Source organism: Homo sapiens, chromosome 5, assembly GCF_000001405.40.
Source record: "Homo sapiens chromosome 5, GRCh38.p14 Primary Assembly".
In the NCBI taxonomy this organism is placed as follows: Eukaryota; Metazoa; Chordata; class Mammalia; order Primates; family Hominidae; genus Homo; species Homo sapiens.
Genome location: NC_000005.10, coordinates 135,728,515 through 135,756,151, shown reverse-complemented (window position 1 = coordinate 135,756,151; position 27,637 = coordinate 135,728,515). Strand labels below are relative to the sequence as shown.

At 44.7% G+C, this 27,637-nt stretch overlaps 1 protein-coding gene across 2 annotated transcripts in view, besides 2 other annotated features; it reads right to left on the bottom strand.

Moving 5' to 3' along the window:
• SLC25A48 (solute carrier family 25 member 48) overlaps positions 1–27,637 on the bottom strand; it is a 309,466-nt gene that overhangs the window by 132,486 nt on the left and 149,343 nt on the right. The window lies entirely within an intron of this gene.
• Positions 20,775–21,274: an enhancer, noted in NCBI's record as "H3K4me1 hESC enhancer chr5:135070567-135071066 (GRCh37/hg19 assembly coordinates)". NCBI's record gives its function as "activates a minimal SCP1, AML or CMV promoter by ChIP-STARR-seq in naive H9 embryonic stem cells {active_cell/tissue: H9 hESC(naive)}" and the evidence as "EXISTENCE:reporter gene assay evidence [ECO:0000049][PMID:30033119]".
• Positions 22,767–23,551: an enhancer, noted in NCBI's record as "OCT4-NANOG hESC enhancer chr5:135068290-135069074 (GRCh37/hg19 assembly coordinates)". NCBI's record gives its function as "activates a minimal SCP1, AML or CMV promoter by ChIP-STARR-seq in naive H9 embryonic stem cells {active_cell/tissue: H9 hESC(naive)}" and the evidence as "EXISTENCE:reporter gene assay evidence [ECO:0000049][PMID:30033119]".

Genomic DNA, 27,637 nt, shown 5'->3' with positions numbered 1-27,637 from the left:
GACACTAGATACGATAAATATCACAGCAATATTTCATTAATACCATAGTGTGTTGACATTAGATATGACAAATATCACAGCGACATTTCATTAATACCATAATGTATTGACACTAGATATTATATGATAAATATCATAGTGAAATTTCATGTCCGTTGACAATAGATATGATATATAGCACAGTGATATTTCATTAGTATAGTGCGTTGACACTACATATGATAAGTGCCACAGAGATATTTTATTACTATCATAGTGCGTTGACACTAAATATGATATGATAAATATCACAGCGATATTTCATTAATACTACACTGCATTGACATTAGATATGAGATAAATGTCGCAGCGATATTTCATTCATACCATAGTGCATTGACACTACGTATGACCATATATATATATCACAGCGATATTTCCTTAATAAGATAGTGCGTTGACACTAGATATAAGAAATACCACAGCAATATTTAATTAATACTATAGTTCGTTGTCATTAGATATGATAAATATCACAGCGATATTTCATTAATACCATAGTGCGTTGACGCTACATATGGTAAATATCACAGCGATATTTCATTAACACCATAGTGTGTTGACATTAGATATGATAAATACCACAGTGATATTTCATTAATACCATAGCGCATCAACACTAGATATGATATGATAAGTATCACAGCAATATTTACTTAATACCACAGTGCATTGACACTAGATATGATAAATATCACAGTGATATTTCATTAATACCATACTGTTTTGACATTAGATATGATGAATACCACAGTGATATTTCATTAATACCATAGTGCATTGACACTAAATATGATAACTATTACAGCGATATTTCATTAATATCACAAGGTGTAAACACTGTGTGTGAACACTGGCTATTATAAGTATCAGAGTGATATTTCATTAATATCACAGTGTGTAACTGGATATTATCAATATCAGAGCGATATTTCATTAATATCACAGTGTGTAAACACTGGGTATCATAAATAACGCTGCAATATTTCATTAATATCACAGTGTGTAAGCACTGTGTATAAACACTGGATATTATAAATATCACTGCAATATTTCCTTAATATCACAGTGTGTAAACACTGGATATTATCAATATCAGAGCAATATTTCATTAATATCACAGTGTGTAAACACTGGATATTATAAATAGAAGAGGGATATTTCATTAATATCTTGGTGTGTAAGCACTGGATATTATAAATGTCAGACCAATATTTCAATATTATCACAGTGTATAAACACTGGACACTATAAATGTCAGAGCAATATTTTATTAATATCACAGTGTGTAAACACTGGATCTTATAAATGCCAGAGTGATATTTCACTAATATCACAGTGTATAAACACTCGATATTATAAATGCCAGAGCGATATTTCATTAATATCACAGTGTGTAAACAATGAATATTATAAATATCAGAGCAATGTTTCATTAATATCATGGTGTATAAACACTGGATATTATAAATATCAGAGTGATATTTCATTGAAATCACAGTGTGTACACACTGTGATATTAACATCATAGTGATATTTCATTCATATCATAGTGTGTAATCATTGGATATTATATCAGAATGATACTTTATTAATATCAGAGTGATATTTTATTAATATCACAGTGTGTAAGCACTGTGATATAATAAACATCAGAGTGATATTTCATTAATATCACAGCATAAACACTCCATGTCAACACTGTAATATGATAAATACCAGAGGGATATTTCAGTAATATCACAGTAATTTCACACAGTAATATCACAATAATAACCCTGTGTGTAGACAGGCAAATGGCATTTATCATATCATATGTAGTGTCAACGCACTATGATATCCTGCATAATAATACCCTTGAGAAATGACTGCTGCTATCACCGTACACACTGTACACACAGTGTACACCCTGTGATATCCTGCATAATATAATCGAGATATGACTGCTACTGTCACAGTAAGGGTACACCCTGTGCATACACCCTGTGCTGTCCTGCATAATATCCTTGAGACATGACTGCCACTGTCACAGTGGGTGTACACCCTGTGATATCCCGATTAATAATATCCTCAAAATATGGCTGCTGGTGTAACAGTGGGTGTACAGCCTGTGCGTACACCCTGTGATATCATGCATAAAAATATCCTCGAAATATGACTGCTAAAGTCACATTGGGTATACAACTGGCATGTACACCCTGAGATATCATGCATAAGAATATCACTGACATAAGACTGCTAATATCACAGTGGGTGTACACGTGATGTCATGCATAATAATGTCCTCGAGATATGACTGCTAATATCACAGTGCGGTATCACACTGCTAATATTACAGGGTGTACACACAGGGTGTACAACCACTGTGATATTGTGCATAATATTCTCACTGCTAATATCATAGTGGATGTACATCCTGTGTGTACACCCTGTAATATTAGGCATAATATCCTCGAGATATGACTGCGAATATCACTGTGGGTGTGCACCCTGTGTGTACACCCTGTTATATCAGGCATAATATTCTTGAGATATTACTGTTCATGTCACCAAAGGTGCACACCTTGTCAGTACACCCCACGATATTAGGCTTAATGTCCTCTAGATATTACTGCTAATATCACCCTAAGTGTGCAACCTGTGTGTATACCCCATGATATTAGGAATAATTTCCTTGAGATATTACCACTAATAACACCATGGGTTTGCGCTCTGTGTGTACAGCCCGTGATACTAAGCATAACGTCCTCGAGATATTACTGCTACTATCATAGTGCGGGTAACTCTCTGTTATTATGCATAATTTCTCAAGATATTACTGTTAGAATCACCGTGGGTGTACACCCTGTGATATTATGCATAATATACCCTCAAGACATTACTGGTAATATCACAGTGGGTGTACACATATTATGCATAAAATATCCTCAAGACATTACTGCTAATATCACAGAAGGAGTATACCTGTTTCTGTACACCCCCTGTGATATTACGCATAATATATCCTTGAGCAATTATTGCTAATATCATAGCAGGTGTACACCATATGTACGTACACCCCCAGTGATATTATGCATAATATATCCTCAAGACATTACTGGTAATATCATAGGGGTGTGTACACCATGTGTGCGTAAACCCCTGTGATATTATGTAAAATATATCCTCGAGAAATTACTCCTAATATCACAGGGGGTGTACACCATGTAGTATTATCCATATCATAGAAGATTACTCATAATATCACAGAGTGTGTAGACCATGTAATATTATCCATATCATAGAAGATTACTCATATCACAGAGGGTGTACACCATGTGTTTACACCCAGTGACATTATTCATAATATCATAGAGATATGACTCCTAACATCACTGTGATATTAATCTTAATATCATAGGGAGATATTACTCCTGAAATCACTTTGGGTGTACACCCTGTGTTATTTTTCATATCATAGAGATATTACTCCTAATATCACACTGTGTGTACAAAATGTGTGTATACCTTGTGATATTATTTGTGATACTGTAGGAAGATACTACTCCTAATATAACAGTGGGAAACCACCCTGTGATATTACTTGTAATATCATGGGAAGATATTACTCCAGATATCACAGTGGGTGTACACCATGTGTGGACACGTTGTGATACTATTTGTAATATTGTAGAAAGATATTACTCCTAATTTTTGTATTTTTAGTAGAGATAGGGGTTTCACTATGTTGGCCAGGCTGGTCTCGAACTCCTGGCCTCAGGTGATCTGCCTGCCTTGGCCTCCCAAAGTGCTGGGATTACAGGGGTGAGCCACTGCACCCGGCTGGAAGTCTTTTATCAATTATGTGTTTGACAAATGTTTTTTCCTAGACTGTAGCTTGTCCTTTTATTCTCTTAAAAGTGTCTTTTGAAGAGCCATTCTTAATTTTGATGAGATTTTATTTGTTCTTTTTTTATGTATTGTGTTTTTGATATTATATCTAAGAAAGATTTACTGAATACAACAACACAAAGATTTTCTCCTATTTTTCCTTCTGGACATGTTATAGTTTTAGACTCGACATTTAGGTCTCTGATCCATTTGGAGTAAATTTTTGTAGGTAAATTTTGTATGTGGTGTGAAATATAGTTGAAGTTCATTTTTTTCTGTTTGGATATCCAATTGTTCCAATACCATTGGTTGAAAAAGCTAGCCTTTCTCCAAAAAATAACCTTGAACCTTCATTGAAAATCAGTGAACAATTTCTGGACTCTATTTTTAAATATATATAATTTTTTTATGAGACAAGGTCTCAGTATGCTGCCCATGCTGGAGTGCAGTAGTGTGATAATAGCTCATCGCTCATTGCAGCCTCCAACTCCAGCAATCCTCCTGCCTTAGCCTCCCAAGTAGCTGGGACTACAGGCACGCACCACCATGCCCAGTTAATTTTTACATTTTTTGTAGAGACAGGGTCTCACTATGTTGCCCAGGCTGTTCTCCAACTCCTGGCCTCGAGCAATCCTCCTGCCTTGGCCTCCTAAAGTGCTGGGATTACAGGTGTGAGCCACTGCACCTGACCTGTGTGACTAATTATAGCCAATGAAAAGTTGGCAGATAGGTGTCATTTCTAGTGGAAACATTTCAAAACCAGTGTAAAACCCCTGGCTTGTGTCCTCTGTGTTCAAAAGGGGCCACAGGACACGGTGGAGTTTCAGTCTGTGTCCCTAAGGAACCACAGGGAGCAGGGGCCTCTGTCCATGAAGTGACATATGGAGCAAGTGCCAAAATAAACTTAGTTGCCTTGAGTCACTTCAGTTTGGGGATGTCTGTTTTAGCAGCATAGACTAGCATATCCCGGCTGAAACAAACACTGTTGCAGGCCCAGGAGAAGGAGGAGGGCCTGAGCTGAGGCAGGAGGGATGCTGGAAGGCACGGAGTGTCAGTTGTCTATAGCCACCCCAAATTCAGCAGTGTCAAACAATCAGCATTTAGCTAGTTCACCAGCCAGTGCACGGGCTGGGTGGTTCTCCTGGACTCATGCATCTACAGCCAGCTGTGGATCTGGATGGCTGGATCTGCAGCTATTGGCTGGATTCTTCTCATGTGTCTCAGGGCCGCTGGTTTAAGATGGCCTTGGCTGAGAGCACTGAGGTGGCTCAGCTCAGTTCCACATGTTTTACCTCCCGTGGGTCAACCCAGACCTTCTCCTAGTGATTGCAGGAGAGCCAGAGAGAGAGTGAAACAGGCAAAAGCCCTATTATAAGTTTTTGCTTGTGTCACATTTGCTAAAATAAGTCACATGCCTGAGCCCAGAGTTAAGGGGTAGAATAGAACCCCCTCCCCACACGTAGGAGGGCAAAGTTAGACAGCCAAGGGCACAGATCCAGATGGGGGAAAGAATTGAGGTCATGTGTGCTACCAGTCTACCACCTGGGGGCGCAGCTGCTGGCCTGATGTCCGATTGGATACAGGGGGTGCTGTGGGCATCTCTATGGACAACATTGCCCCCCATCCCTGTATAGGTATGCCACCCCACTCATCAAGAGGTGGAGTCTGTGTCTGCAGCCCTTGAACTTGGGCTGCCCCTGTGATGCTTTGACGGAGAGAATATGGTGAAAGTGACTGCCACTTCCCAGCTTTGTCATTCCCAGCTGCCATTTAAAGGTACTCAGGCTAGACCACTGAATACTGAGAGAGGGAGGCCACTAGGAGGGAATCAAGGCCAGTGGGAGAGTGAGGCCATTTGGGACCTTCCAGCCAACCCCCAGTCGAATGAAGCCACATTAAGGGAGCCCAGGTGAAACCAGAAGAGTCACAGGAAGCAATAAACCATGGTGGTTTTAAACCATTACATATTGGGGTGACTTGTTACACAGCACTTGATAACTGATGAAAATGGAGAAAACTAAGCAAGGCTGATGCTCAGATTTATGGCTTGAGTTCTTAGCCCAGGGGTCAACGCCCTTTCCAGGGATAAGAAACCCAGAGGCAGGAACTGGCTTGAGAAAAAGTTGCAGACATTTATTTGTTATGCTTGTGGGACATCCATGCAATAAAATCCAATAGGCACAAGGTAGGATACACAGATCTGAACTTACAGAGAAAGAGGTGCTGGAGCTAGAGACAGACGATGGATGGTGTCAGGGCTATCAGCTGCTTGCCCAGGAGGAAGTGGGAAGTGGGACTGGAAGTGTCCCAAGAACAGAGTCTTGGGGAGCACTCACCTTAAGAAGCGGTCCTGGCCGGCGAGGTGGCTCACACCTGTAATCCCAGCACTTTGGGATTCCGAGGCAGGCGGATCACCTGAGGTCAGGAGTTTGAGACCAACCTGGCCAATATAGTGAAACCCCGTCTCTACTAAATATACAAAAATTAGCCCAGCGTGGTGGTGTGCGCCTCTAATCGCGGCTACTTAGGAAGCTGAGACAGGAGAATCGCTTGAACCCGGGAGGCAGAGGTTGCAGTGAGCCAAGATCATGCCATTGTACTCCAGCCTGGGCAACAAGAGTGAAACTCCATCGCACCCCCACCACCCCACCCCAAAAAAAAATAACAATAAAAAAAGAAGTGGTCCTCAGGTGTTAGTGGATGTGATCACCATCTGCTGAGACCATCAAGATGCAGATCAGATTCCTGCCCAGCTCTGAGTTTCTGATTCAGGAGGCCAGGGATGGGGCCTGGGAATCTGCTTTGCAATCTAGGCTCTGTCCTTCTGCTCCCAATACTAGGGATGGAAAATTCCATCCCAGGTGAGATGGGGGTTTGGCTGGGGGAGGGGGACAGTGGGAGAAACCTGGAGCAAGGTTGAGAGAAGGTTTACTTCATTTTCTTGGGGTTTTTTTTTGTGTGTGGAACACTTGATCATTTTAATAGCCTTGTTGTGGGGAGGGGTGAGAAGCAAGGGAAAGGTACAAAAAACAGTAGGCATTTCTTCCTTGCCACTGTGCAAAGACTCACTGAGTGCAGAGTGGGAGAACCCTGTGTGACTAGAGACAAAAGAGAGATCTAAAGTGATGTCACTGCTGGAAACAGCTAGGAGGAGCCCGCCAGGAAATGTCTTAAGGGACATCAGGAAGGAAGAACAAAATGGACCTGTCTCAGCCAGGCACCACAGTACCTGAGATGGGCTCACATCTGTAATCTCAGCACTGTGGGAGGCCCAGGTGGGTGGATCACCTGAGGTCAGGAGTTCAAAACCAGCCTAACCAACATGGCGAAACCCCGTCTCTACTAAAAACACAAAAATTAGCCAGGCATGGTGATGTGTGCCTATAATCCCAACTACTCAGGAAGCTGAGGCAGGGGAATCGCTTGAACCTGGGAGGCGGAGGTTGCAGTGAGCCAGTATCGTGCCATTGCACTCCAGCCTGGGCAACAGAGACTCCATCTCAAAAAAAAAAAAAAAAAATTTACCTGTCTCAAGCCTCTGAAGTGTGACAGAGGAAAAAGATCCTGTGGTCAGAAGAGTTCCAGTGGAGCCTGCTGGCTGTGAGAACTTAAGCAAGTCACTTCACCTCTCTGACCCTCAGTTTCCTCAGCGAAAGGAGAATAACTTGCAGCAGGGCACGGTGGCTCATGCCTATAATCCCAGCACTTTGGGAGGCCAAGGCAGGCGGATCAACTGAGGTCAGGAGTTCAAGACCAGCCGGTCCAACATGGCAAAACCCTGTCTCTACCAAAAATACAAAAAATTAGCTAGGCGTGGTGGCAGGCACCTGAGTCCCAGCTACTTGGGAGGCCAAGGCAGGAGAATCGCTTGCACCCAGGAGGCGGAGGTTGCAGTGAGCAACTGTGACAGAGTGAGATTCCATCTCAAAAGAGAATAAAAATAAAAAGAATAACTTGCATCCTGCCCTCCAATGTATAGTATAGTGATTAAGAGCCAAGGCCCTGTATCAGACCTTGTTAAAAACCCAGTTCTGCTCTTTACTGCCTCTCAGATTGTGGGCAAGTAAATCTTGGCAGCCATCTTATCACCTGTAAGATGGAAATGACAATAGTCCCTACCTGATAGGTGACTTCCTCTCTGCTCTCCAGGCCTTTGCTGATGGCCCATCACTCTGTTCTTCTTCTCCTGACCAGATTGGGCTCCAGATGGCAGGGGGCAGGTCAGTCTGGAATCTAACTCAGTGCTGGCTGGGACCATGTGTTACTAAGTGCAGGCTCTGCAGCCGGACAGACCAGTTTTATCACCATGGTTCCCCTGCCACCAGTCGTGTGACCTTAGGAAAGTAGTTTAACTACTTTAAGCCTCAGTTTCCTCATCCAAAATGGAGACAGTAGGACTATAAAAGGACATAAATTAGGTAATTCACACGAAAGCACAAAGATGGTAGATGGCAAATAGTAAGTATTCTACAAAATGCTGGCTATAATTAGTAGTACTGACAGGCAACTGATACATTGCAGTTTAATAAATGTTTCTATATTCTTAGTGTCTGGGGCCAGGTAAAGTTTGTTCACTCATTAATATTCCAGGTGCCAAACCTGTGATCAATGACATTCCAGTAGCAATGAGTAGTTGTGGCATCCAGATCTTGGTTTCTGAACTGTTGTCTGCTAAAAGTAACCAAGGCTCCCCGAAGAAATGACTGCAGCAGTGAGAAGGGATGACTGAAATATCTTATTGTATCAGAAAGCAAGAAAATGCTCAAAGAAGTTGTATTAGTGCCCAAAGAACATAAGAACTGTCTTGAAGCGGCTTCACTGACCACACTTGGGGGGAAAAATTGACCAGAAAGCATAATAATAATTTATTATAAAAGACAAATTAAAAAAAAATCCAGGAATCCATAGTGAGACTCCAAAAAAAAAAGGAAAGAAAAAAAAGAGAGGGTATATAACTGATATATAGATATATATATAGATATCATATATGAAACTGTATCTATAGTTATATATATTACATCAATGCTGCTAAAATCACTCAGTGAAAGGCTGATAGGGAAGAAGATGGTCACATGGTCTTTCAGTGCATCACCCCAGAGAATACTTGTTAATTACAAATGGCAGAGGGTACCATTCACTGGAAAAATGGGGCAGACACCACCTTTACCAAGCCATCAAGCTTCACATTACCAAAAACGGGACAAATTGACATTATCCAAGTGTGTTCTGCAGGAAAAAAAAACAACAACAAAAAATACTTAACCTGAATCTAATGACGGGGCAAGAGTGAGGAGAGGATCAGACAAATCAAGATTATGGGATATTCTATAAGACAACGGGTCTGGAGCTGTCAAAATTATCAATGTGATGAGACTCCCCCTAAAAAAAGGAAGGACTGATCTGAATTAAAGGAGACCAAAGAGACGTAACTCCAGGCAATGAGTGAATCTAGGGTGGGAGGGGTCTTATTTGGAACAATTAAAATTGGAATATAAACTGTCTATTGACTAATAGTACTGCATCGATATTAAATCTCTTGGGTATGAAAATGACACTGAGGTCATGAAGAATGCCTGTGTTCTTAGGAGATGCACTGCCGAAGTATGTATGATAGGAAATCCCTGAAAAGGAACAGAAGTGAGTCCCAGTCGCTCCGCCCAAGGTTCACGCGTGCCCACAGCCCTCTCTTTTGGAGACTTATTTTGCACCGGAGAATCGGATTGTACCTGCAAGGCGGAAATGCACGACAGCAGTTCCGGTGACCACAAAGGCAGCAAAGGCGACAGAATGGAGAAGGTGCCTCACGTGAGTTCCTGGAGGAGGCGTGGGTGGCAGGGCAAAACTGTAGCGAGCTGCTGTAACTGTGGTCTTGTCTCTGTGCAGACTTTCCAGGGGCCCTCAGTGCCCAGGGAGGCCAAGGTGCTTCATGTCAGGGATGCCCCAACCAGCGGCTGTGCACTTCTGGAGTGGGGGCTACCCCAGACCCGGGTAAGAAAAAGGCAAGGCCTCAACAGGAAGTGAGAGGCGCAGGCCTGGAAAAGGCTGCACATGGGAGGGAGGGAGCGGGATCTGCAGAATGAGTGATGGGTACGGGCTAGAAGGTATTGTATACGGAGAGGAGTGGGGCCTAGAGGGCGCTGAGCATGAAAAGTAGGCAGCGTGAGGGCGGAGCTTGAAATGAGTGACAGGGAGGAGGACTGTAGAAGGCGAGAGCAAAGGATGTGGCACGGATGGAGGCCAAGACTAACCTGTGCAGCATCAGAAGGGACATTAATTAAGAGGATCCGGGACAGAAGTTTGAGTGACAATAACTGACCACAGAGAAAATGGGATAAGCTTCAAAGTCAGGGAGTCCTCAGACTTAAATCCTGGCTCTGCCAGCTATTTTCTTGACATAATTTTCTTCCTTTTGAGGAGTGATTCTTCCGTTCATTCAACAGAAGTGTGTTGACCGCCTCGTAGGTACTGTGCTGTGCTGGGGACACAGCTGGGGATCAGGCATGGTCACTGCCCTAGTGGAGTTTAGCTTAACAGGGGAAATATAAACACGTGAGCTAGCAACTAAACCACCACAGCTTTAAGTGCTGTGAAGCACAGATTCAAGGATGGGAGGACCTTAGGAGCCTGCTCAGAAGGACCTTAAAAAGCAGGAGGCAGGGGGAGAATCTTTTTTTTTCTTCCCACCACCCCCGCTGGCCTTTTTTCCAGAGGGAATCTTGCTGTGTTGCTGGGAACAGGCCCCCCACATCTGGCCATAAACAGGCCATGAGAAACTGGCCATAAACAAAATCTCTGCAGCACTGTGACATGCTTGTGATGGCTATGACACCCACGCTGGAGGTTGTTGGTTTACCAGAATGAGGGCAAGGAACACGTGGCCCACCCTGGGTGGAAAACCGCTCAAGGTGTTCCTAAACCACAAACAATAGCATGAGCGATCTGTGCCTTAAGGACATGTTCCTGCTGCAGATAACAAGCCAGAGCCTGTCCCTTTGTTTCCCATAAGGAATGCTTTCAGCTAATCTATGATCTATAGAAATAATGCTTATCACTGGCTTGCTGTCAATAAGTATGTGGGTCAAACTCTGTTCGGGGCTCTCAGGTCTGAAGGCTGTCAGCCCCCTGATTCCCACTCTGCACTCTATTTCTGTGTCTTTGTCTTAATTCCTCTAGCACTGCTGGGTTAGGGTCTCCACAACCGAGCTGGTCTCGGCACTGTGTAGCCCAGGCTGGAGTGCAGTGGTATGATCTCAGCTCACTGCAACCTCCGCCTCCTGGTTTCAAGTGATTCTCATGCCTCAGCTTCCCCAGTAGCAGGGACTACAGATGCCCGCCACCTCTCCTGGCTAATTTTTGTAGTTTTAGTAGAGACAGGGTTTCATTATGCTGGCCAGGCTGGTCTTGAACTCCAGACCTCAGGTGATCTGCCTGCCTCAGCCTCCCAAAGCTGGGATTACAGGTGTTAGCCACCACACCCAGCCAAGGGGGAGAATCTTGAAGGAGTTCAAAGAGAGAGTTGGGTTTGATTCTTGGGTCCATGTGGTGTGACCATCAGCAATAGTCATAACCTCTCTGAGCTTCTGGTTCCTCATCAAAAATGGAGACAGGCCAAGTGCGGTGGCTCACGCCTGTAATCCCAGCACTTTAGGAGGCCGAGGCAGGTGGATCACTTGAGGTCAGGAGTTCAAGACCAGCCTGGCCAACATGGTGAAACCTGTCTCTACTAAAAACACAAAAATTAGCTGGCATGGTGATGCGTGCCTACTCTTGAGGCTGAGGTGGGAGGATCACTTGAACTGGGGAGGTGGAGGTTGCAGTGAGCTGAGATCATGCCACTGCCCCCCAGCCTGGGTGACAGAGTGAGACCCTGTCTCAAAAGAAAAAAAAAATGGAGAGAAAAATAGTTACCTTGTCAATCCAATGGAGAGACTGAACCATCTCTACCAGTGGAGGTTTATTGAGCCAGAGCTTGAGGGCATGCTCTGGAAAACACAGAAATGTCTGTGGCCTGTGCTCCCTGGAGAGGTTCCAGGAGGCTCGTGTTTATATATTTCTTTAAAAGGGGAAAAAGCATGCAGGAAAAAGTGCAGTAGGCCTTGAGGCAGTTAGTTAAATTCCTGTGAGGTTTAAATTAGAGCCCAGTATATCTATGCTATACAGAAGATAAGGTAAACATTCAAAAGAGGGAGTAAAAGAAGAATTAATTAGATGTCTCAGGGTAGGAGAGGAAGGATTAATCTTATCCTGTCTTTGTTTGGCATGTGAGAAGATAAGCTTGTAATGGATGGACATCATCAATGTGACATTTAACAGACATCAGTAGCAGACAAGGAGTTAGACTGAGGTTACAGTCCTAAAGTTACAGTTAACATGTCCTTGTTTATGGGAGGATATTCATCTTCAAAGGTTTAGGGGCCATCAAAGAAGCTCCTTAGGAGCAATTTGTGAGGGCAGTCATCCCACGATGGAGATGCATGAGGCCTTTGGCCTTTTGCAGGGGTCTAGTTAATGTAGAATGCTTTGATCCAAGGTTGGGAAGTAACAGCTGTCTGTTGATGGGGAGGAGGACAGCAGTGTTGGGAGGTTTCCAGGCTTAACTTTCACTTGAATTTGAGCAGTAATGAGACATTTTATTTTCCATTATACCTCGTGTGTTAAGGATTTGAAATGAGATAGTTTCATTGACAGATACTTAGTACGTGCCTGCTATCTATCAGGGTTTCTCACCCTCCACATTGTTGACATTTGGAGCAGGATTATTCTTTGTTGTGGGGGGCTGTCCTCTGTATCATAGGACAATTAGCACAATCCCTGGCCTCTACCCATCAGATGCCAGCAGTACCTCTCCTGTCACAATGAAAAGTGTCTCCAGGCTGAGCGTAGTGGCTCATGCCTTTAATTCCAACACTTTGGGAGGCCGAGGCGGGTGGATCACTTGAGGTCGGGAGTTCCAGACTAGCCTGTCCAACATAAAGAAACACCGTCTCTACTGAAAATACAAAAATTAGCCAGGCTTGATGGCAGCCACCTGTAATCCCAGCTACTTAGGAGGCTGAGGCAGGAGAATCACTTGAACCCAGGAGGTGGGTTGCAGTGAGCTGAGATCATGCCACTGTACTCCAGCCTGGATGACAGAGTGAGACTCTGTCAAAAAAAAAAAAAAAAAAATGAAGGGAAGGGAAGGGAGGGGAGGGGAGGGGAAGGAAAGGGAAGGGAGGGGAGGGGAGGGAAGGGGAAGGGAGGGGAGAGGAAGGGAGGGGGGGGAGGGAGGGGAGGGGGAGGGGGAGGTCTCCAGACATTTCTAAATGTCCCTGGGGGATTTTGTCCCCTAGTTGGAGACCATTACTATACGCAAAGTTCTCTTCTGGAGCTGGGAATACATCACTGAAAGCTTCAGACAGTCCCTACCCTTGTGGAGAATATGTTCTAGTTGGGGGAGACAAATGTGTAAACCAATAAATGAGGCACTTTCAAGTGTGATAATAGCCTTATTTTCTTCCTAGCACTTACTTCTACTGTTGACTAAGAGGTATTTCAGAGGATACTTTTAAACAGCCCCAGGACTAGGACTTAGCTCTTCCTAGCTTACTGAAAGAGTGACATTCGAGGTTCGGTCAGAAACCTCATCCCCTAAACTTTGGCTTTCTTTGCAGCTATAGAGGAAATCAAAGAGAAAATGAAAACCATAAAACACAAAATCTTGGTATTGTTTGGGAAAGGCAGTGTTGGGAAAAGCACATTCAGTGCCCACCTTGCCCATGGCCTAGCAGAGGATGAAAACACACAGGTGAGACCTCAGGAACCACTGGGAGATGTTCATTCTATCTGAGGGTCGTGATGGCTATTAAATAACGGATTCCTAGGCCAGGTGTGGTGATTCATGCTTGTAATCCCAGCACTGTGGGAGGCCAAGGCGGGCAGATCACTTGAGGCCAGGAGTTTGAGATCAGCCTGGCCAACATGGCAAAATCCTGTCTCTACTAAAAATACAAAATATTAGCTGGGTGTGGTAGCACAGGCCTGTAATCCCAGCTATTCAGGAGGATGAGCCATGAGAATCACTGGAGCCCAGGAGGTAGAGGTTACAGTGAGTCGAAATTGTGCCACTGTACTCCAGCCTGGATGACAGAATGAGACTCTCAAATACAAAATAAATAAATAAACAAAAATAATTAAAAAAACTGATTCCTTAGACTAAGTTGAATTGGCCTCTTTGGAATCTCAATCCCTGCAGAGAACAAAGAAATGCCCAGTAGTCAAATGAAGCATTTCATTGGATTCTGTAGCCAAGAAAATGGCTAGCAGATGTACATCTCTCCTTGCACGTGGATAGTTTATTACATTACATTCACGCTTCTTTTTCCTCCTTATTAACCCCTTTTTGTTTTTCTTGAAGCCAGGGATGTGCAAACTATAGCCAGTGGGCCAAATCCAGCCCATCTCCTGATTTTATGGCCTGTGAACTAAGAAGGGCATTCACATTTTTGAAATGTTTTTTGTTTGAGAGAGGATCTCACTCTGTCACCCAGGCTGAAGTACAGTGCTATGATCAGGACTCACTGCAACCTCTATCTCCCCGGCTCATCAATCTATCCTCCCACCTCAGCCTCCCAAATAGCTGGGACTACGGGTGTTTGCCACCATGCCCGGCTAATCTTTGTGTTTTTTGTAGAGATGGGGTTTTGCCATATTGCCCAGGCTAGTCTTGAACTTCTGAACTCAAAGCATCCCCCTGCCTTGGCCTCCCAAAGTGCTGAGATTACAGGCATGAGCCACTGCACCTGGCCTAAAATTGCAATTTTTAAATTAGTACCTAAGTACCAACATATGATCCTTGATTTTGCCCACAAAGCCTAATTACATATTTTCTATTGGCCCTTGCGGAAAATGTTTGCTGGACCTTACATGAGTTTATTCATTTCCACCCAAGTATACAGATGAGCATGAAAATTCAAATTACCCTGTGCTGCCCTCTGGATGTCAACTTTAATAAAAGGGGTTGTGGGTAGCTAAGAACACATACTTTGGAGTCAGACACCCCAAACTCAGGTCCCAGCTCCATCCACACCACTGCTGTGACCTTGGGCAAGTTACCAGGCTTACTCTGCCTCCGTTTTCTCATCTATAAAATGGGACTCTGAAGACTGAGTGAGATGACACATGTAAAGCACTTAGCATAGGGCCTGACAAATAGTAAATGTTCAGTAAATATCTGTGATGGCCATTTTTATTACTTTATTTCACTAACTGGATATGAAGGGATGATGATTTTATCTGCCTTAGAGATGAGTTTGTAGCCCACCCAAAGTACAGTATTGAGTAGATTCAAAATATACTTGGGCTGGGGGCAGTGGCTCACGCCTGTAATCCCAGCACTTTGAGAGGCAAGGCATGCAGAGTTTACAGCTTGCAGTGAATGCCAAGAATGAGTTCTTAGACAATTCCAGCTGAGCAGGGCTGGGGGGCAGCTTTTCTGACAGAGTCCACCCCAGCATCTGTCCACCAAGTATTTATTGAAAGAGCTTGTTAAACCACAAACACCCCCTAGATGGCTTTTTTGAGGCTGGGTTGTGAGACACCTGTGGCCTTGTAAAAGCACTCAAACGGCATTCTCAGGAGGCTGTTTTCAGTGTTCGTTATCACACCACACACTCCACTCCCTGTCCTGTTTTCAGGGTCAAGGAGTTTCATTCTCATGCACAAATAACATGCACACAGTGCCTCAGTATTTTTCCATGCCCTGACCTCAAATGCCTTGTACATAAGCTTGAATATGTTGCCATGCACCCCCCGCCCAAGGCAGGTGGATCACTTGAGGTCAGGAGTTCAAGACCAGCCTGACCAACATGGTGAAACCCTGTCTCCACTAAAAAACACAAAAATTAATTGAGCGTAGTGGTATGTACCTGTAATCTTAGCTACTTGGGAGGCTGAGGCATGAGAATCCCTTGAACCCAGGAGGCAGAGGTTGCAGTGAGCCGAGATCACCCCACTGCACTCCAGCCTGGGTGACAGACCGAGACACCGTCTGAAAAGAATGCATATATATATATACATACACACACACACACATGCACACACACATATATACTTGTTGATTCATTCTTCTGTTAGCAATCTCTTTCCATTTGAGGGTCAAATTTATATTGACCTGGTGGGCTCACTAAGAAATCTGCTTTCTCAGATTGTCTATATAGTTTAGAATAATCTTTGCTTTTTGAAGCTGTCAGGAATACTCTTAAACAGCTCACTGGGGATGGGCTTTCATCTGGCCACTTGCAAGTAACCACTTGTGAGTAGACAACTGTTTATATCATTCACTTTCACGTAATTATGTTCTGATGTCTTTGCTGCATGCCTGTCTAGACTTTGCAATATACAGAAGGAAAACACACCATTCAGTGTGGAAATATGGCTAGATCAGCTGTTTTTCTTTATGCAGTGGTAGTTTAAAAAAAAAAAGAAGTCAGCATTTAGGAATGTGTGTTTTCCCCAGGCAGAACTGCTCATGACAGTGATATCACTATTTGCAAAGTGTCAACACATGGAAAATGCTGAATATGTCTTGATTAAAGTCAAGCAGCACAGATTTCTCCCTGCCCTAAATCCAGCAGGATGATGGGACACACCCTGACCCTTTTCTGCCTGCCATCTTGTGAAAGCTTGGCTCTAACTCTATGCAAGGCCATTCCCTGTTAGTGCTTGAGGCAGGCAGGTGTCTGTCATCTCATTGCCAAACGGCCTTGGATCAAGAGAGAGAAGAATTAGAAAACACCCCTGACGAATCACAGGCTGGCCAGGGAGTGTGTAAGTTGTGGTGAAGGCAGGAGGAGCCTCTGTAGCATAAGTCTGAGCCATGAGACAGCAAAGAGTAACACACCATCTTCTACTACAAAAGTCACCGACTCCCAGCCTGGGGTACAAAGTGAGACCCCTATCTCTACAAAAAATAAAAAAATTAGCCAGGCATGATGGTGAGCACTTGTAGTCCCAGCTATGCAGGAGACTGAGGTAGGAGGATCACTTGAGCCTGGGAAGTCAAGGCTCCAGTGAGCCATGATCACATCACTGCACTCCAGCCTGGGCAACAGAGTGAGACCCTACCTCAAAAACAATGAATAACAAGTCCATAAATTAAACTTGTTTGTTTGTTTGTTTGTTGAGATGGAGTATCGCTGTGTTGCCCAGGCTGGAGTGCAGTGGTATGATCTTGGCTCACTGCAACCTCTGCCTCCGGGGTTTAAGTGATTCTCCTTCCTCAACCTCCCAAGTAGCCAGGATTACAGGCGTGTGCCACCATGCCTGGCTAATTTTTGTATTTTTAGTAGAGACAGAGTTTTGCCATGTTGGCAAGGCTGGTCTCGAACTCCTGACCTCAGATCATCCGCCTGCCTCGGCCTCCCAAAATGCTGGGATTACAAATATGAGCCACTGCACCTGGCCACCATAAATTAAACATTTATGATTTTGTGATCTGAAAGGCAAACTATCATTACAAAGTCAGCACTGGGTGTTTCAGGACTGAGTGTGCGAGGCCCTCCTGTGGGGCTTGGGACTGCAGAGCTGGAAGGGGCCTTGATGATCCCGGAGCACTCGTCTCACAGATCAGAAGCCCAGACAGCCAAGGCTTAGAGAGCAGAAGCAACTTGTGCAAGGACTAAAAGTTGGGACTAAACCAGTCTTCACCTATCCTCCTCATCAGGGGCAGTTTGAGAGTAAAAGGAGTAAAGGAGATGCTTTGGGTCCTGATAGCCCTGTAGCATCCCCATCCCTCCACCTTCTGCAGCAAATGTCACCTCTTCCCATCAGCTGCAAACACGGGCCCAGGGGTCCTGGTGTGGAGGAATTCAGGCCATTCCTCTCAGCTGTGCTTCTCTGGCCTAACCTAAGCAGAATTAATTGGACAGATTTTGAGGTAGTAATAGGATCAACAGGAAGTCTGAATAGACAGGACACAGAGCCACCCTGGCCATCTGGGTAGCAGGAGCATGTCAACAGCCTCTTGGGCCTGCCACGGGAATGAGTGCACTTGATCTGCTTTTCGCATCCTTACATCATTTTGCTCAAGATTCACTCCCCAAGGGAGTGAAATTCCTCTAAAGGGAACTGATTAAAGTGTTCCCTGAAGGAAGGGCATGGAGACAGAGTAGCTAGAAACCTGAGAGTATCGAGGAAAGTCTCTATCACAGTCATAGTGATGGTGTCATTTCCCCGTGGATCATTGACACATCAGTCCCAAGTATCAAGGTCCTGAGAGAACAAGTCAGGTTTTCCAATGATGTCGCTCTGCTGAGCTCCTCGGATGGTCCTGTAGAAGGTGCCCGAGGCCAGCCCTGGTCTGTGGATGGCATTTTCCCATGCACAGGTTTGAGACACCACTGGGTGCTGATGAAGTAGGAGGCTGGGTTTGTTGAGAGGATTGAAGAGGAAGGCAAGAAACTAATTCAGGGCAAGTTAAAAAGTGACCCGGAGGTGCAGCACTTTGGATCCGAGTCATTGCAGCTTTCAAGATGAATACTAGCCCTGTTCTCAAAATGTTCCGGAAGGTTGTCTCAGACCTCCTGTACCAGAGGGGAAGGTTTGGGATGGAAGGAGTCACCTGAAGCTGCACCTGAGTCACAAACAAAGAGCTTTTCCAGGTTTCCATCTTTAAGTTTCTGTTTTGAAAGTTTAATCTAAACCATCATTCATCTTCAGGATCAAAGGAAAATAGGGCTTGGTCAGGGTTCAGCTAGAGGTTCTACTCTTGTCCTCCATGTCAGGTCTCTGAGCCCAAGATAAGCCATCATATCCCCTGTGACCTGCACATATACATCCAGATGGCCTGAAGTAACTGAAGAATCACAAAAGAAGTGAAAATGGCCTGTTCCTGCCTTAACTGATGACACTACCTTGTGAAATTCCTTCTCCCGGCTCATCCTGGCTCAAAGTCTCCCCCACTGAGCACCTTGTGACCCCCACCCCTGCCAGCCAGAGAACAACCCCCTTTGACAGTAATTTTCCACTACCTACCCAAATCCTATAAAACGGCCCCACCCCATCTCCCTTCACTGACTCTCTTTTCGGATCAGCCTGCCTGCACCAAGGTGAAATAAACAGCCTTGTTGCTCACACAAAGCCTGTTTGGTGGTCTCTTCACACGGACGTGAGTGAAATTTGGTGCTGTGACTCGGATCAGGGGACCTCCCTCGGGAGATCAATCCTCTGTCCTCCTGCTCTTTACTCCATGAGAGAGATCCACCTACGACCTCGGGTCCTCAGACCAACCAGCCCAAGGAACATCTCACCAATTTTAAATCGGGTAAGCGGCCTCTTTTTATTCTCTTCTCCTCCCTCTCTCACTATCCCTCAACCTCTTTCTCCTTTCAGTCTTGGTGCCATCTTTCAATCTCTCCCTTCTCTTAATTTCAGTTCCTTTCCTTTTCTGGTAGAGACAGGAGATGCGTTTTATCTGTGAACCCAAAACTCCGGCACCGGTCACAGACTTGGGAAGACAGTCTTCCCTTGGTGTTTAATCATGCAGGGATGCCTGCTTTATTATTCACCCATGTTTCAGAGGTGTCTGATCACACGGGGATGCCTGCCTTGGTCCTTCACCCATAGCAGCAAGCACCACTTTTCTGGGGGCAAGCACCCCCCACCCCTTCTCTCTGTGTCTCTACCCCTTTTCCGCTTTTCTTAGGGGCAAGCACTCCCCAATCCTTCTCTCCATGTCTCCACTCTCTCTTTTCTCTGGGCTTGCCTCCTTCACTACGGGCAACCTACCACCCTCCATTCCTCCCTCTTCTCCCTTAGCCTGTGTTCTCAAAAACTTAAAACCTCCTCAACTCACACCTGACCTAAAACCTAAATGCCTTATTTTCTTCTGCAACACCGCTTGGCCCCAATACAAACTTGACAATGGCTCTAAATGGCCAGAAAACGGCACTTTCAATTTCACCATCCTACAAGACCTAGATAATTTTTGTCGAAAAATGGGCAAATGGTCTGAGATGCCTTACATCCAGGCATTTTTCACACTTCATTCCCTCCCTAGTCTCTGTACCCAATGCGATTCCTCCCAAATCTTCCTTCTTTCCCTCCTGCCTGTCCCCTCAGTCCCAACCCCAAGTGTCGCTGAGTCTTTCCAATCTTCCTTTTCTACAGATCATCCGACCTCTCCCCTCCTCCCCAGGCTGCTCATCGCCAGGCTGAGCCAGGTCCAATTCTTCCTCAGCCTCCGCTCCTCCACCCTATAATCCTTCGATCACCTCCCATCCTCACACCCAGTCTGTCTTACAGTTTGGATCCAAGACTAGCTCTTCTCCAGCTGCCCAACAATTTCCTCTTAGAGAGTGGCTGGAGCTGAAGGCACAGTCAGGGTACATGTGCCTTTTTCTCTTTCAGACCTCTCTCAGATCAGTCAGCACTCAGACCCTACTGAATATATACAGGAATTCCAATATCTAACTCTGTCCTACAATTTAACCTGGAGTGACTTAAATGTCATCCTAACTTCTACCCTCTCCCCAGATTCACAGGAAATTTTTTCTCTGGCCCAATCTCACACTGACAACCGCTGGCTCCATGAACCAGACCTCCAGGAAGGCATTAGCGCAGTTCCCCGAGAGGATCCCCAATGGAACTATCAGGCAGATTCCCCAAGTATAGCTAGGTGAGATTACATGGTTTCCTGCCTAGTTGAAGGATTTAAAAAGGCAGCTTACAAAGCTGTTAATTATGACAAGCTTAAAGAAACTACCCAAGGTAAAGACGAAAACTCAGCCCAGTTCATGGCTCATTTGGCAGCAACCCTGAGATGCTTTACAGCCCTAGACCTTGAAGGCCCAGGCTTTCTGACTGTCTCATTCTAAATATGCATTTTATCACCCAGTCAGCTCCTGACATTAGAAAAAAACTTCAAAAATTAGAATCCGGCCCTCAAACCCCACAACAGGAATTAATCAACCTCACCTTCAAGTTGTACAATAATAGAGAAAAGTTACAATTACTTGCCTCCACCGTGAGACAAAATCCCAGCTACATCTCCAGCACACAAGAACTTCCAAACACCTAAACCGCAGCGGCCAGGCATTGCTCCAGGACCCCCTCCCCAAGGAACTTGCTTCAAGTGCTGGAAATCTGGCCACTGGGCCAAGGAATGCCCTCAGCCTGGGATTCCTCCTAAGCCGTGTCCCATCTGTGCGGGACCCCACTGGAAATCGGACTTTCTAACTCGCCTGGCAGCCACTCCCAGAGCCCCTGGAACTCTGGCCCAAGGCTCTCTGACTGACTCCTTCCCAGATCTTCTCGGCTTAGCGGCTGAAGGCTGACGCTGCCCAATTGCCTCAGAAGCTTCCTGGACCATCACAGATGCTTTGGGTAACTCTTACAGTGGAGGTTAAGTCCGTCCCCTTCTTCTTCTTCTTTTTTTTTTTTTTTGTTTTGAGATGCAGTCTTGCTCTGTCGCCCAGGCTGGAGTGCAGTGGCACGATCTCAGCTCACTGCAAGCTCCGCCTCCCAGGTTCACGCCACTCTCCTGCCTCAGCCTCCTGAGTAGCTGGGACTACAGGCACCTGCCTCTGCGCCCGGCTAATTTTTTTTGTATTTTTAGTAGAGACGGGGTTTCACTGTGGTCTCGATCTCCTGACCTCGTGATCCACCCGCCTCAGCCTCCCAAAGTGCTGGGATTATAGGTGTGAGCCACCGCACCCGGCCCCTTCCCCTTCTTAATAAATAGGGAGGCTACCAACTCCACATTACCTTCTTTTCAAAGGCCTGTTTCCTTTGCCTCCATAACTGTTGCGGGTATTGACAGCCAAGCTTCAAAACCCCTTAAAACTCCCCCACTCTGGTGCCAACTTGGACAACATTCTTTTATGAAGTCTTTTTTAGTTATCCCCACCTGCCCAGTTCCTTATTAGGCCAAGACATTTTAACTAAATTATCTGCTTCCCTGACTATTCCTAGGCTAGAGCCACACCTCATTGCCACCCTTCTTCCCAACCCAAAGCCTCCTTTGCATCTTCCTCTCGTATCCCCCCACCTTAACCCACAAGTATGGGACACCTCCACTCCCTCCCTGGCAACCGATCACATGCCCATTACTATCCCATTAAAACCTAATCACCCTTACCCCGCTCAATGCCAGTATCCCATCCCACAATAGGCTTTAAAGGGATTGAAGCCTGTTATCATTCGCCTGTTACACCATGGCCTTTTAGAGCCTAAAATCTCTCCTTACAATTCCCCCATTTTACCTGTCCTAAAACCAGAAAAGCCTTACCGGTTAGTTCAGGATCTGCGCCTTATCAACCAAATTGTTTTACCTATCCACCCCAGGGTGCCAAACCCATATACTCTCCTCTATCCTCAATACCTCCCTCCACAACCCATTCTGTCCTAGATAAACCTAGCTGACCCCATAAATCCTAAATCCTTTCCCCACTCCCCTTTCCATTCCTTAAAAAACAGCCCTAAAAGCTGCTCCCACACTAGCTCTCCCTAAATCATCCCAACCTTTTCATTACACACAGCCGAAGTGCAGGGCTGTGTGGTCAGAGTTCTTAGACAAGAGCTGGGACTGCACCCTGTAGCCTTTTTATCCAAACAACTTGACCTTACTGTTTTAGCCTAGCCCTCATGTCTGCATGTGGCGGCTGCCGCTGCCTTAATACTTTTAGAGGCCCTCAAAATCACAAACTATGCTCAACTCACTCTCTACAGTTCTCATAACTTCCAAAATCTATTTTCTTCCTCCCACCTGATGCATATACTTTCTACTCCCCAGCTTCTTCAGCTATACTCACTCTTTGTTGAATCTCCCACAATTACCATTGTTCCAGGCCCGGACTTCAATCCGGCCTCCCACATTATTCCAGATACCACACCTGACCCCCATGACTATATCTCTCTGGTCCACCTGACGTTCACCCCATTTCCCCACATTTCCTTCTTTACTGTTTCTCACCCTGATCACATTTGGTTTATTGATGGCAGCTCCACCAGGCCTAATCGCCACTCACCGGCAAAGGCAGGCTATGCTATAGTATCTTCCACACCTATCATTGAGGCTACTGCTCTGCCCCCCTCCATTACCTCTCAACAAGCCAAACTCATTGCCTTAACTCGAGCCCTCGCCCTTGCAAAAGGACTATGTGTCAATATTTATACTGACTCTAAATATGCCTTCCATATTCTGCACCACCATGCTGTTATATGGGCAGAAAGAAATTTCCTCACTATGCATGGGTCCTCCATCATTAATGCCTCTTTAATAAAAACTCTTCTCAAAGCCACTTTACTTCCAAAGGAAGCTGGAGTCATTCACTGCAAGAGCCATCAAAAGGCATCAGATCCCATCGCTCAAGACAATGCTTATGCTGATAAGGTAGCTAAAAAAGCAGCTAGCTTTCCAACTTCTATCCCTCACGGCAGTTTTTCTCCTTCTCATCTGGCCACTCCCACCTACTCCCCCACTGAAACTTCCACCTATCAATCTCTTCCCACATAAGGCAAATGGTTCTTGCACCAAGGAAAATATCTCCTCGCAGCCTCACAGGCCCCTTCTATTCTGTCATCATTTCATAACCTCTTCCATGTAGGTTACAAGCTGCTAGCCCACCTCTTAGAACCTCTCATTTCCTTTCCATCGTGGAAATCTATCCTTAAGGAAATCACTTCTCAGTGTTCCATCTGCTATTCTACTACTCCTCAGGGATTTTTCAGGCCTCCCTCCATTCCCTACACATCAAGCTCGGGGATTTGCCCCTGCCCAGGACTGGCAAATTGACTTTACTCACATGCCTTGGGTCAGGAAACTAAAATACCTCTGGTCTGGGTAGACACTATCACTGGATAGGTAGAGGCATTTCCCACAGGGCCTCAGAAGGCCACCGTGGTCATTTCTTCCCTTTTGTCAGACATAATTCCTCGGTTTGGCCTTCCCACCTCTATACAGTCCAATAATGGGCCGGCCTTTATTAGTCAAATCACCCAAGCAGTTTCTCAGGCTGTTGGTATTCAGTGAAACCTTCACACCCCTTACGGTCCTCAATCTTCAGGAAAGGTAGAATGGACTAATGGTCTTTTAAAAACACACCTCACCAAGCTCAGCCACCAACTTAAAAAGGACTGGACAATACTTTTACCACTTGCCCTTCTCAAAATTCGGGCCTGTCCTTGGAATGCTACAGGGTACAGCCCATTTGAGCTCCTGTATGGACACTCCTTTTTATTAGGCCCCAGTCTTATTCCAGACACCAGCCCAACTTGGACTGCACCCCAAAAACTTGTCATCTCTACTATCTTCTGTCTAGTCATACTCCTATTCACCGTACTCAACTACTCATAAATGCCCTACTCTTGTTTACACTGCTGGTTTACACTGTTTCTCCAGGCCATCACAGCTGATATCTCCTGGTGCTATCCCCAAACAGCCACTCTTAACTCCCTCTTAAAGTAAATAAATAATCTTTGCTGGCAGGGCCATGCTGAACCTCCTTGGGCACTCTCTAATTGGATGGCCTGGGCCCTCCCAATTCTTAGTCCTTTAATATCTGTTTTTCTCCTTCTCTTATTTGGACCTTGTGTCTTCCATTTAGTCTCTCAATTCATACAAAACAGCATCCAGGCCATCACCAATCATTCTATATGACAAATGCTCCTTTTAACAACCCCACAATATTGCCCTTACCACAAAATCTTCCTTCAGCTTAATCTCTCCCACTCTGGGTTCCCACGTCACCCCTAATACCGCTTGAAGCAGCCCCAAGAAACATTGCCCATTATCTCTCCATAGCACCCCCAAAAATTTTCGCTGCCCCAACACTTTACCACTATTTTGTTTTATTTTTCTTATTAATATAAGAAGACAGGAATGTCATGCCTCTGAGCCCAAGCTAAGCCATCATATCCCCTGTGACCTGCAGGTATACATCCAGATGGCCTGAAGTAACTGAAGAATCACAAAAGAAGTGAGAATGGCCTGTTCCTGCCTTAACTGATGACACTGCCTTGTGAAATTCCTTCTGGCTCAAAATCTCCCCCATTGAGCACCTTATGACCCCCACCCCTACCAGCCAGAGAACAACCCCCTTTGACTGTAATTTTCCATTACCTACCCAAATCCTATAAAATGGCCCCACCCCTATCTCCCTTCACTGACTCTCTTTTCGGACTCAGCCCACCTGCACCCAGGTGAAATAAACAGCCTTGTTGCTCACACAAAGCCTGTTTTGTGGTCTCTTCACATGGACATGAGTGAAACTCCACAGCAGGCCCTGTGGCATACTGGAAAGAGCCCTGGTTGGGGCCGGAAGATCTCAGTTTATGTCCCAGCTCTGTTCCCCACTTATTGAACTGGTCCCCTCTGAACCTCAGTTTCCTCCTCTGTAAACCAGAGATAATGATACTCACCTTCTAGGCACATGTCACCTTTGCTCCAGTACCCAACAAGTTCCTCATCTCCATCTAAGACCACCTCAGCCTGGATTTCTTGTCCATATCATTATCAGCATTTTGGTTAAGGCCATTCAACAAGTCTCTAGGAAGTTTCAAACTTTCCCACATTTTCCTGTCTTCTTCTGAGCTCTCCAAACTACTCCAACCTCTGCCTGTTACCCAGTTCCAAAGTTGCTTCCACATTTTCAGGTATCTTTTCAGCAGCACTCCACTCTACTAGTACCAAAATCTGTATTAGTTCGTTTTCATGGTGCTGATTAAGACATACCCAAGACTGAGCAATTTATAAAAGAAAGAGGTTTAATTGGACTTACAGGTCTGTGTGGCTGGGGAATCTTCACAATCATGGCAGAAGGCAAGGAGGAACAAGTCACATCCTAAGTGGGTGGCGGCAGGCAAAAAATGAGAGAGCTTGTGCAGGGGAATGCCTCTTTTTAAAACCATCAGATCTTGTGAGACTTATTCACTATCATGAGAACAGCATGGGAAAGACTTGGCCCCCATGAGTCAACTACCTTCCACCAAGTCCCTCCCATAACATGTGGGAATTCAAGATGATATTTGGGTGGAGACACAGCCAAACCATATCAAATTGGAACAGTAACAGCAGAGGTTTGTTATAGGAATTAATTTAGAGAATAGTCATAAAGAAAAAGAATAGCACTTGGACTCTAGTAATCTCCCCCAAAATCATGGTGATTTTTATTTATCACCTCTTCGGTCTGAGCCCCAAAGCTTCTTGCCTGCAACCTCTTTATATACCTTACACCTGTCAGTTTATGAGCTCTGGGCAGGGACATGAAGAGTGATTTACCTGATGAAGTTGCCCATTGCTCTGAGCACGTGAGACAGGAACCACTACATAATATATATTACATATAATGAATGTATAACATCACCCCTTTTATTTATTTTTACTGTGTTATTTAAAAATACCAGTCACAAGGCCAATTAGCTATTACAAAGATATGTCTAGTTACTTTAACACAAATTTTATATAAAATGTACTTCCTATTACTTTTAGATGAGAAGGAAACTCATATAGCCTGTGGTTCCCTCAGAACTCTCACATGTAACTTTTAGTGAGGAAAATGAGGAACTTTCTGAGCTATCCACAAGGGGGTAGACTGATTCCATTTCTTCTGGAAGGTATCCATGGGGTCATCATTAATGATCATTTAAAACTGATATTTCTCATTTTAAGCAACTGTCTCCTTCCAAGAAATAAAATTTACTTATGCAAGCAAGATGCCACTTTTTTAGGCTGACAACTTACAGATGACCCTTGGTTTAAAAATGTATTGCAAAATCATTTACACACATTTTCCCTGCAATCAATCATGGAGGATTCTAACAAATGCCACATTCAGAATCTAAGAACACTGCGGTCTTTCCACTAGAAAGTCAAGCAAATTATTTAAATTCCCAGGGACCAAAAAAAAAAAAATCTTTCCTCAACATCAAACAAAACATTCTCTCTTTGAAAATGTAAATCCCTTGAACATATTCAAGAATTTTAACAAGCTTCCCAGAAAACTATCCTATTACTCTTTGAAGGCCTTAAGGAATTTTCTTAAAATAGTCACATGCTACTCAGGGTGTGGAGAGGGCCTAAGTGACAATGGGAGTCAAAGCTCTACAGTAGGGCCCCAGAAGTCCCCATGTACCTCCTTTCAGAAAGGAAGAGCGGCCCCCAGAGAATTACTAGGCACATGGAAGGGGTATGGGGAAATCTTCTAAAAGGAATAAAGCACAGGACCCGTTTCGCATCTGTTTTGCATCTGGGGTTAGCAGTAGGACACAGAGCTCTGAACTACAGGAAGAGCCTCAAAGAAGATGTTAACAACAGAGAGTTTAGAGAATGTGGAGCTCTCATCTGTTTTAACTCCTCTATCCAAGCCTTGGGGTGTGTGTGTATGTGTGTGTGTGTGTGTGTGTGTGTGTGTGTGTGTGTGTGTGTATTTGTGTATGTGTTCAGGGGAAATTCCAAGAGGATGAAACTGAGGTGAAAGGCAAGTCAGAGGTAGAAAGTGGCCTGAGCTGATAACTAAATGCTAGTTTCACTTCAAAGAACTGGATCTTCATCTGACATCAGAAAAACAGAAGAATCAAGAAGGCACCAGCAATTTCACTCAAATAAGTTTTTCCTGAGGAAGTAATTGAGTATGTTTTCAGAGACATAGTTTTAAGATATTTATCACAGCTTGTCTATGACAGGAAAAATTAAATACACAAACAAGAAATTTAAAAAAGAAACACCCTTAAGTATGCAACAGTGAGGGATTAG